This window comes from Homo sapiens, chromosome 11, assembly GCF_000001405.40.
Source record: "Homo sapiens chromosome 11, GRCh38.p14 Primary Assembly".
Taxonomy (NCBI): Eukaryota; Metazoa; Chordata; class Mammalia; order Primates; family Hominidae; genus Homo; species Homo sapiens.
In genome coordinates this window covers 88,404,961-88,417,336 of record NC_000011.10, presented here as the reverse complement: position 1 = coordinate 88,417,336, position 12,376 = coordinate 88,404,961, and the positions used below count along the sequence as shown (strand labels likewise).

Below are 12,376 nucleotides of genomic sequence, written 5' to 3'. Positions count from 1 at the left end.
GTTTACTACGATTTATTCTCTTGAAGTTATTTTCCCCGATTCAATCCTTATGGTGGAAATACTATCTATTGAGGGACTACCGCACATCTTTTCAACTTCCTGTTCAGTGCCATTATTCGGTTGGTGCAAAAGTAATTGCAGTTTTTGCCATTACAATACATTATGCTGGTAGCTTGAAATTGACAATAGTGGATGTATTGATACCAAATAAATCAGCAACACTAGTTGACATCTTTTTTTTTTTTCCAGGTGGAGTCTGGCTCTGTCTCCCAGGCTGGAGTGCAGTGGCGCGATCTGGGCTCACTGCAAACTCCGCGTCCCTGGTTCACGCCATTCTCCTGCCTCAGCCTCCCGAGTAGCTGGGACTACAGGCGCCCGCCACCACGCCCGGATAATTTTTTGTACTTTTAGTAGAAACGGAGTTTCACCATGTTAGCCAGGATGGTCTTGATCTCCTGACCTTGTGATCCGCCCACCTCGGCCTCCCAAAGTGCTGGGATTACAGGCGTGAGCCATCGCGCCCGGCCTAGTTGACATCTTGATGTATTGTTTATTTGATTGTTTAGACTTGAGAAAATGATAGTAAAAATGTTAACAGCACAGATTAAGCTTAAAGCAGGTCATGTCTATAGCCATTACACAAAAATTTAAAGAAATATTATTCTTCCGGTATCTAAAACCTATGATTCAGCAAAGAAGCAGCTCATGATATTGACAAACAAAGGAAGTTACAACTTACCACCTAATTTTACTTTAATCTTATTAATACAAAAGAATCAAGTAATATTCTTATATGAACTATATTCATTCATCAGATACAACCATAGCTTGGCTAAAAATACAATAGTTTAGCAAAAAATAAAATAAAAAATTTCTGTGGAAACAAAATGGCTATATTACATTTAAAATAAAGAGTAAATTGTACACTATACATTCTTTACATTAATGTTTTATATTAAAAAGTATACATTTATGTATGTGTGCATAAACATACATTTTTACACCATCATGAAACATTTACCAGCCCACCACTGAATGCATTGAATATACTCCTAGAGCTCATCACAATGCCTAGCACATATGGCGTGCTCAGTAAATGTTTGTTTAATGAATGAACGGATAGAAGCCATGGTCTACATGATTGACCAGAGAACACAGGCTGAGTGGAAAGGGAATAGAGGCCAGAAAAGAAGCAACAGTTTGGGGAAGTTGGGAGGATTCCAAGAACTAGAGGTCAGTTGAGAATTTCTATAAGATTCTACAGAAGTTATAAAGTAGGAGACCAAAAAATAATTAAAGGAGCTGTGACAAGACAAAGCATCTCAGGGGTTAGAGAAAGCTAGGGACTAACCATGTGCAAGGCCCTGCACTGTTAGTCCACTTTAAGTTAATCTTTTATATACTCACAAAACCTTCATTTATCCTCATTTTATAGGCAAAGAAACTAGGTAATTAAAGTTAATCAACTGGCCCAGACTCATTCAGCTAGTAGAGGGTAGAGGCCAGAGTGTTCTAAACCCAAAGCCTGCACTCTTGAGGGCTACACCAAATGGAAGTGGGAACAAGGCTGTGAGGAGTTGTAATTCAAGAGCTTACTACTCACAGTGTGTTCTGAGGAACAGAAGAGGGGATTTTTGTTAGAACGTTGATTCTCAAGCCCTACCCCAGATCTACTGAATCAAATCTGTGTTTTTTTTTTCTGTCTTTTACAAGATATACTGGAAATGCCTATGCACCTTGACACTTGAAAACCACTAGTTTAGGAGGCAATTGTATCAGCAGGTAACCACATTGCAGATGGTCATTAAAGTCAAAGAAATCAAGAAGTACTATCAGGTATATTGTAAGATTGAACTTGCCCAAGTAAAGTGAGGGTGCTCCTTCTAGCATGTGGCATATTAAAATCACCTAGAGACCTTCGTAAAATGCCAAGGCATTAGTAATTTTAAAGTGATTCCAATATATAACCAAGGTTGAGAACTTATCAGGAGCATCACATTAGTCATGCCGTTCCTCTCAGATGTGAACAGTAGCCCCTACTTATCAAAACAAACAACGAAGCAAATGTCCGTGGATCTGACTTGAGAGGCTGAAGCATCTCCTCCCCAGGATATAATTACTCTTCAGCCTCACAGTGGTTTTTCTAGCCTTGCTCTTTACACAATAGCCCTGCCTTCCAACCCCAGAAACAGACTGGCTTATAGGATTTCACATTTCATGTGCCTCTCACCTGGCACACCCTTTTTTCTCCTTGCCACCAGACCACATCCTTTCCTTCCTCCAGCCCACATTTATTTCTAGACCTAAAATGATTTCTTAATGTCAACCTTTTATTCTGCTTACATGGCATCATACCCCTCACCAGGATTAAACTGTACCAAAGATACCTGGAAACAAATTGTACAAAATAAACAGAATTTTATGGAGGCTACACAGTTCTATTTGTTCAAATCAAGTATTATCCTTTTTAAAAAAATGCCACTAAAGCTAGTTTCCTCTATCTGGATCCTCTGCTGTGCAGTAACAATACAAGGCCCACAAAAGAGGGCTGAGTTCCTTCCCACATGCACTGCTTTTTCTCCAGTAATAGACTGCATTTTGGATGACTGCCAGGCAACAATAGTTGACTCGTGCTGGCCAGCTCTCAACATAGGTCTCCGAAGAAGCTGGGGAACAGGGCAAATTGACGCTTCTAGTTTTCTCTCAATAATCCCTCCCCAGGGTTCAGGTTCACATGTGGACTTCTGTTACCAACCTTGTTTGATCTCTTTAAAGAGGTCCCTTGCCTCCATTTGGGTGACATGAAGTCTCCATAAGAACAGCAATAGGAATACTTAAGATCTTCTTGTCACATGATAAACAGACTGATTAGATCTTCTGGTTTAGTGACTTCCTCTTCACTCTCACCAGCTACTGAAAGTGTGGCCGGTCGCTTTGATTGGGGATATAACTGATTCTTTGAACTTTGCTCCATTCTTAACAGTATTCCAATACTGTAATTAGATAGTGGGCTGTATAGACTGAAAAATGGTTTTGCTAAGTGTAATGGGAATTGTTTCCAGGTTACCCTTTCATCATAAGAATTCACTAAGGCATGCAAACCAATTTCATTTATTTCTTCTTCTGTTTCTCAGAAAAGGGCCTTTTTTAGCAGGGTGGTGGTGGGGAGGATGGTGATAGCTTATAGAAATTCCAGAAAACAAGGGATGGAGATGAAAGATGTTTAAAACAAGCAAACCAAAACCGTCTCTAAGAAGGAAGTCAAACAAAATTCTTTTTGATATTTGAAAATCTTTAGTTTTGATTTACGCCCAGACTTGTACTCTGTTACTTAAAATTCCCTGTATTTAGGTTATAACTTCTAGGAGCATAGATACTCATCTTCATTCATTGATTCATGCATACATACATTTAATCATTAATTCATTCATTTATTCAGTAACATTTACTGGATATTTGATAGAAACAAAGGGTTCAGGATAAACAAAAATAAGACATGTTCCCCAACCTCAAGTAGCTCAGAATCTAAAGGAGCAGAAAATTTCTAAATTGTCCAAAACTTATACAGGTGCTAAAATGTAAATCTCTAGAAAATACAGTGGGAACCCAGCAAATACCATGATCGACTCTGTAGGGGCAGCAGTAGCAGGGTGGAACTTTTTTCTTAGTAAAGAAAGAAGAAAATTCCAGAAAAGAAAAAAAAAAGCTTCAGAACCAATTTTCTATAATCAAAATAGAGGTGCTCAGATTTTGTCTAGTGCTATATTTTATATGAAACTCATGTGTCAATTGGGGTAAGGCTTCCAATTAAGCTAAGGCTACTCAGAACCCCCAGGCCATAGTCGAAGCTTTTTCTAAGAGTTCTATGAATCTCTGGAGGATCTGGGTTTCTATTGTTACTTCTAGTTCTGAGCTCCTGCTCCCATAAATCAGTTCTATTTATGAATTATTTTATCTTCCTTGAATGTTGCCCCTGACTTACACCACTTTCACTCATATATGGACTTTCAGGTTTTTTCCTTGATCTTAAAAAATATCAACAATATCATGCAGGTATGGTGCTTGTAACTGTAACATCAGTGTAGAGAGCAAAGAACCGAATCCCTGTGTGAACCAATCCTCTATTTGAAACAATCCACAGCTTGTCTTTTGTCCACCCAGGCACACTGGTGTCATGGGCTCTTTCTTCATCTCAGTGGCTTCTCTCTTTCTCTTCCCTATGATCTTTTTTAAAGTGGACTTCCAGGATTGCTCCTAGCAATTCCAAGTGCTTTTCATGCCATGCTGAGTAATGCAGTTCTCACCAGCTCCAATCCCAAAAGTCAGCTCAAAGGACATTTTTGCTTATTCAAAATCCTCTGGTGTTTAAATAATCCTTGGATGGTACTTTTGTTCCCAGAAGAAATGCTTCTGCTATGAACAGACACTTCTCAAAAGAAGACAACCATGCGGCCAACAAACATATGAAAAAAAGCTCATCATCACTAGTCATTAGAAAAATGCAAATGAAAACCACAATGAGATGCCATCTCATGTCAATTAGAATGATGATTATTAAAAAGTCAGGAAACAACAGATGCTGGCAAGGATGTGGAGAAATAGGAACGCTTTTATACTGGTGATGGGAGTGTAAATTAGTTTAACCATTGTGGAAGACATTGTGATGATTCCTCAAAGATCTAGATACCATTTGACCCAGCAATCCCATTACTGGGTATATAACCAAAGGATTATAAATCATTCTATTATAAAGACACATGCACAGGTATGTTTATTGCAGTACTATTTACAATAGGAAAGACTTGGAACCAACCCAAATGCCCATCAATAATAGATTGGATAAAAAAAATTGGCACATATACACCATAGAATACTATGCAGCCATAAAAAAGAATGAGTTCATGTCCTTTGCAGGGACATAGAGGAAGCTGGAAGCCATCATTCTCAGCAAACTAACACAGGAACAGAAAATCAAACTCCACATGTTCTCACTCATAAATGCGAGTTGAACAATGAGAACACATGGGCACAGGGAGGGGAGCATCACACACTGGGGCCTGTTGGAGGGTGAGGGACAAGGGGAGGGAGAGCATTAGGACAAATACCTAATGCATGCGGGGCTGAAAACCTAGATGACTGGTTGATAGGTGGAGCAAACCACCATGGCATATGTACACCTACGTAAAAAACCTGCACATTCTACACATGTATCCCAGAACTTAAAGTAAAAAAAAAAAAAAAAAAAAAGAAAGAAAGGATGCTTCTAATACAATCTACTTTTCTTAAAAAGTGCTTATCAATTTCCTCCAAGCAACATTACAACCAATACTCTTCATATTTGAGGATGACGTTACTATTCATCAAAACCCACTTTTGGCCGGGTGCAGTGGCTCATGCCTGTAATCCCAGTACTTTGGGAGTCCGAGGCGGGTGGATCACAAGGTCAAGAGATCGAGACCATCCTGGCCAACATGGTGAAATCCCGTCTCTGCTAAAAATACAAAAATTAGCCGGGTGTGGTGGCGGGTGCCTGTAATCTCAGCTGCTTGGGAGGCTGAGGCAGGAGAATGGCATGAGCCCAGGAGGCGGAGGTTGCAGTGAGCCGAGATCATGCCACTGCACTCCAGCCTGGTGACAGAGCAAGACTCCGTCTAAAAAAAAGAAAAAGAAAGGAAAAGAAAAGAAAAAAAACACACTTTCTTTTCTTCCTGCTTTTGTTCTGGTATTCTTTGGAGATGGTTTGCAAGAAATCCACTTCCATTACTGTAGAGCTATGCCTCACTTTGAACTCTAAACACTGTTAGTCTGACCACAGTTTTGTTAAATCTGGATGTCTTAAGCCTCTAAAAACCCCAAACACCCCAGGAACAAGTATTACTCACCAATTATGGTATTAAAAATGAGCCACTGTCTCTGAGTTCACTTACTTGTTCTATAAACATTAATCATGCACCATGCATTAAGTTAAGCTTTGTTCTGCTCTAGAAGAGCTCAGAGTCTAACCAAATACAAGTTCCAAAAAAGCTTTAAGGAAAGGCAACATCTTTGGAATTCATTAATAGCCTCTCAAGGGGATGGCTTTAATGGGCAATCTTCTTTTGGAGCCTATTTCCCATTCATTAGTTAAAACATAGATCCTATGCTTTGCCATTGTGCCTCGTATATGTTCTATCTCCTGCGATATAATGGCTGTAATTTAGGAGCATCCCCTGAAAAGAAAAAACATTTGTGGAGATGTAAGTTATAAGACTCTTTTCCCCGTATTGTGACTTATAAATTCCTCTTTCATATACTCATACAGCCTAGAGCATTATATAGTATGTTATAATTATATTATAATTGTGCAATTACTTATCTGTCCCCTCTCCTAGAAGTGAGCCCCTGGGGCAGGTTATGATTTATCCAAATTCAGTTCCTAGTATAGTGTTTGAAATTGTCGGTGTACTCACAGAAGACCTGGGAAAGAAAAGGAAAAGGAAGGGAGGGAGAAAAGGAGAAGGTAAGGATGATGACTATCGTTAGTGTGAGTCAGAGTATTCTGCACAATTTCTTCTATTTGGCACCTGGGAGGCTCCCCGTTCAAAGGTGTGGTCAGTCTTCCACAGAATTAGCAGATGGCTCAGCACAAGGACCTCAACTATCAGCTAAATCAGGATGAATATTTTGTAAAAACTGGGATTAAATGCCTTTTGTTAGACGGGCAAATGACACTGAAGTCTCGTTAATATTTTATGTTAAATTCTATGACCTGATACTCCATAAATATCATAGCTGCTAGAAATAATACTGAGATTCTAACCTTAGGTTTTGCTTTGTTTTTAATTTAAAATGTTATCAATTTGTCATATCATAGTGCTGAATTTTGTGCCCGCAAAATTCAGATGTTGAAACCCTAACCCCAGTACCTCAGAATGTAACTGTATTTGGAGATAGGAAGTTTGAAGAGGTGATTAAAGTAAAATGCTGTCAGGGTGGGCCATAATCCAATCTGACTGGCATTCTTACAAGAATTGGAAATTTAGACAAATGAAGAGAAGCCAGGTGTGTGTGCATACAGAGGAAACACCAAGGGAGTGGTCAATGAGAAGGCAGCTATCTGCATGCCAAGAAAACAAGCCTCAGAAGAAATTAAACCTGCTGACACGTTAGTCTTGGGCTTCTCGTCCTTAGAACTATGAAAACAAGGCCAGGCATGGTGGCTCGTGCCTGTAATCCCAGCATTTTGAGAAGCTGAGGCAGGTGGATCACCTGAGCTCAGGAGTTCGAGACCAGCCTGGACAACATGGTGAAACCTTATCTTTACTAAAAACACAAATTTTAGCCCAGCGTGGTGGCAGGCACCTGTAATCACAGCTACTTGGGAGGCTGAGGCAGGAGAATTGCTTGAACCCAGCAAGTGGAGGTTGCAGTGAGCTGAGATCACGCTACTACACTCCAGCCTGGGCAACAAGAGCGAAACTTTGTCTCAAAAAAACAAAAAAACAAACAAAAACATGAAAACAATTCATTTCTGTTGTCTTAGCCACCAGCCTGTGCTATTTGGTTATGACAGCCCTAAAAAAACTAATACACTTAGCATTGTTCTCAAGCTATAGTCATTGAGACTAATCCTGGCTCTTCCACTAGCCAGCACTTACTTTTTAAAAATTTAACTTAAAAACTTGAATGAATATCCATCATGGATGACACTACTAAAAAACAAACAAACAAACAAAAAACCACAAAAATGAATAAATAAATGAATGGCATGAGTTATGAAGTACAAAGATCTAAAAAAAGTTGCAAGTTAAAATTGAGAAGAAGTCTACCGTATGGTCCTGGATAAATCTCTTATCTTAGGAGGATCTGAGTTGTCTCATTTCTAAAATAAGGCTGTTGGAAAAATAACTTATTTTATCCCTTAAAATTTAGGAGCTTGGAATTTACTGTTAAGCACAACACTGATAATGTTGGTGATGATGATGATGATGATGATGGTAAAAGGTAAAGAAATTAAAGCCAGAATTTTATCAGAAAGTATAGAAAGAAAGTAGAAAGTATAGGTTTTCTGCTCCTCCCATTTGACAGAAAGCCTCATCTTCTCGTGCATCACCAGCCTCATCCCTGAGACACCATGGTGAAGGTGAAGGTGGAAGTCAACGGATTTGGCCATACTGGGCGCCTGGTCACCAGGGCTGCTTTTAACTCTGGTAAAGTAGATATTGTCACCATCAATGACCCCTTCATTGACCTCAACTACCCCTTCATTGACCTCAACTACATGATCTACATGTTCCAGTATGATTCCATGGCAAATTCCATGGCACCATCAAGGCTGAGAATGGGAAGCTTGTCATCAAGGGAAATCCCATCACCATCTTCCAGGAGTGAGATCCCTCCAAAATCAAATGGGGTGACACTGGGGCTGAGTACATGGTGAAGTCCACCAGCATCTTCACCACCATGGAAAAGGCTGGGGCTTACTTGCAGGGAGAAGCCAAAAGGATCATAATCTCTGCTCCCTCTGCTGACGCCCCCATGTTCATGATGGGCATAAACCGTGAGAAGTATGACAACAGCCTCGAGATCATCAGCAATGCCTCCTGCACCACCAACTGCTTAGCACCTCTGGCCAAGGTCATCCATGACAATTTTGGTATCATGGAAGGACTCATGACCACAGTCCATGCCATCGCTGCAACCCAGAAGACTGTGGATAGCCCCTCTGGGAAACTGTGGTGTGATGGATGCAGGGCTCTCCAGAACATCATCCCTGCCTCTACTGGTGCTGCCAAGGCTGTGGACAAGCCAAGGTGCTGCCAAGGCTGTGTCATCCCTGAGCTGAACAGGAAGCTCACTGGCAAAGCCTTCTGTCGTCCCCACCACCAACGTGTCGGTAGTGGACCTGACCTGCCATCTGGAAAAACCTGCCAAATATGATGACATCAAGAAGTGGTGTAGCAGGCATCAGAAGGCCCCTTCAAGGGCATCCTGGGCTACACTGAGCACTTGGTAGTCTCCTCCAACTTCAACAGTGACACCCACTCTTCCGCCTTTGATGCTGGGGCTGGCATTGCCCTCAACAACCACTTTATCAAGCTCATTTCCTGGCATGACAATGAATTGGCTACAGCAATAGGGTGGTAGACCTCATGGCACACATGGCCTCCAAGGAGTAAGACCCCTGGACTGCCAACCCGAGCGAGAGCATGAGAGGAAGAGAGAGGCCTTCACTGCTGGGGAGTCCTTGCTGCACTCAGTTCCCCACCACACTGAGAATCTCCCCTCCTCACAGTTTCCATGCAGACCCCCTGAAGAGGGAGATGCCTAGGGAGCCCCTCCTTGTCACGAACCATCAATAAAGTCCCCTGTGCTCAGCCAAAATAAAAAAAAAGAAAGTAAAAAGTATAAGAAGACCTTAGAATCAACAGATGGCACATGTTTGCCTTGACTTAAAGATATGATTAGAAACCAATATTGTTAGTCTGAGGAGAGAAAAGTTGCAAATCTATAATGCAATTGTATTTTATCACAATAGGCTAGGTTGTACTACATTTAAAAACAACGTCCAAATCTCAGCATCCAAAAAATAATTGATTTATTTCTCTTTTTCATTGTAAATTTCAGGTCAGCACAGCTCATACTAGTAACGCAGGCACCCACTCTGATAAGGGTTTAATCTTCAACAATTACTTTGGCAGAGAAAGAGATGGGAGCAAATTAATCATGGCTCTTAAAATTTCTGCTCAGTAGCAGCCATATGCCAATTTCATTCAGATTTCATGAAGAAAAGTGAAGCACATGAGTATGCCTAACATCAAAGTGAGTGGGAGTCCAATTTTTTCTGTGTGATGGAAAGGACAGGAATGAAATATTTGGCAATAGACTGGTGATGATTGACAGCCAAACTGGTGAAGGATGCTCACAAAATTGGATTGTGTTTATGGGTGAACATAATTTGGAAATTTTAATCTATTACACCTAGGAAACTCTGCTTGAAGCTTAAAAGAGTTAATTTAACCACAAGAACGAGGAGACGGAGAAGGAGGAGGAGACTTATCTCTTATATTAAGAAATAAATTCATGAAGTTCTTTACCTCAAGAGTTGCTACAGACTAAAAAAAGCTTCAGAAAAAGTCTAAATTAGTACATGAAATTGTCTCCAAGTCAACTGAGAATTAAAAATTTTAAGATATCTCAACATTCCTAGTTGCTGAATCACTCAGTTGGTTTTTTATTTGTTGCTTTGGTTGGTTGGTTAGTTGGTTGGTTGGTTAGTTTTGTAAACAAGTAAGCTTGGTATTAACACAATGTGCTAATTTAGTGGTGACAACATTACTGGGTATCCATAAAACAAATATAGTGTGTCTTGAAATTTGAATTTTCTGTCAGCCCATGTTTTACCTATTCTATCTGTGAAAGAAGACAGTCCACTTTGTAGCCTAAAATACATTGGGGGTAAAAAATCCAGGGAAGCCACCCTCATCATTGTTTAGTATATAAATTGCTCTGAATGCCTATTAAGTGCAGTCTCTCTGCTAGACACTTTTCATACACTATCAAGTGTGCTCTTCTCCTCAACCTAGAGATGTAAAGTGCAGTGATCCTGAACTGTTCTCAAAGGCTTGTAGGGTCACGATTCACAGACATGTGACATGAAACCATCCTCTCTCTCCTGGAAAAAATTAAGTTTGATCAAGTCACTTGTGGCTCTAATCTCGAATATAGTATCAAAGCCTTTCCCAGTGATTACTTAGGTAACAAAGAAAGTTAAAAAAGCATAAGGTCATATTGCCCTTTTGAATTACTGATCAAATCATGTCCATGAACTATGAACTTGGGCAGACTTCTTTTAGTTTCCAGTCTTCATCCTTAAAGAGGGAGGTGATCTTTTTAATAAGTCTTTCAAAAAAATTTTAAAATCTCAAGCAAAAGAAGGCCCAAAAAACATAAATAGGAAATATATATATGTATACACACACACACAGACACACACACACGCACACACACATTTATCTTGAAATCCCAAACTTAAACCATTTTTCTTACAAAAAGAAAAAAAAATAATTAATTTGTGTGACAAAGGAAAAAGAGTCTCTTCTGATCATTGTTGAAGAATCCTGGAAGAAGTGTTATTGGTTCAATGTTACAGATGAAGAAAGGGAGGTCAAGTCATCAACACAAAATCCAAAACTGATCTCTATTCACTTTCACTTTCTGAATCCTCATCTCCCTTTTTACTTCTTTCTATCCAGCTCAAACGCCTGCCTTTTCCTGCTCGCTGCCAGAATTTCTGAATCCAGGATCAGGGAAGTCCCCAGTGAGCTGCATTCTCAAGAAATACTTATACACACCTCCCCACCTGCAGGCTTTTCCCAGACCTTTCATTTGTTTCCTAAGGGGTTCTGAGAGACATTTACTTATTAATGTTTGTATCAGGATTTATACTTTAAAAGAAAATTTGACATGGTGATTGCATTTGGTGAAACAAGGAATTCTTCGCGTTCGGACCAAGGAACTTCAATTGGAAAGAAATGTGAGTAAAGGCTTTTCTGGTGTCCTTGAAATCATACTACCACACTACCAGCCCTCATTGAGTGATGGCTTTACCCTGATTCTTCTAATTCAGATATCAGAAATCTACTATTCAAAGATGATTACCCTTGAGAAAGACTCATAAATTAGGAAATTTAAACCAAAAGAAAAGGATTCAATAATATAGGGCATGCAGGGAATGAGTTCAGACACTTAATCCAACCACAGTGTTTAAAAGCAGAGAAAATCCATGAGTACTCCTGTTGTCATTGGCTCAGAGATGGGTCATCTACTTTCTTTGTTTTTTTCTGTCAGTCATTTAGCCTGTGGCTCTCCTCTAATTAAAACTCCCACAGATGTTTCCAGACTGGCTATTGCACTCTTTTGTCACAGCACACTGAATCTCTACATTGTATAGAGTATGATCTCTTTTAGTTGGTGCTCAGAAGCATTTGAACACAAGACTGGCATAAGGATAATCAGAAATGATCAGAGGCAAATCTGTAGCTAAAGAGATGATATCCAAAGGAAATCTATGCCTACCAAAATTTCCCCTATACTTCAGTTAAAGAAAGACAGGAAAACAAATAGAGAAGCTAGTTTCCAGCAAGTTTTGATCCTGCCCTCATTTTCCCATGGCTATGTGGCACACCAACAACACTTCAGTTGAATTTCCTTGTTGGTACTTGTCTGGTCTCTTTTTTTCCCCAGTGTTGCAACTTGATTACCTAAGCCTCATCAACCCACTTAAACAAGCATAAATGGGAATTTCCACTAAACACATTTCCAAAGAATATTCAATATTGTTCATTGAAGTGAATTATCTAATGTATGAAAAATGAAGCAGCGTGAATTATCTAAT

General features: G+C 39.8%; 1 long non-coding RNA gene and 1 pseudogene across 4 annotated transcripts in view; one reads left to right on the top strand and one right to left on the bottom strand.

Annotated features, from left to right (window-relative positions):
* LOC101929174 (uncharacterized) overlaps positions 1-12,376 on the bottom strand; it is a 90,309-nt gene that overhangs the window by 10,856 nt on the left and 67,077 nt on the right. The window lies entirely within an intron of this gene.
* Positions 8,047-9,360, top strand: GAPDHP70 (glyceraldehyde 3 phosphate dehydrogenase pseudogene 70; annotated as a pseudogene).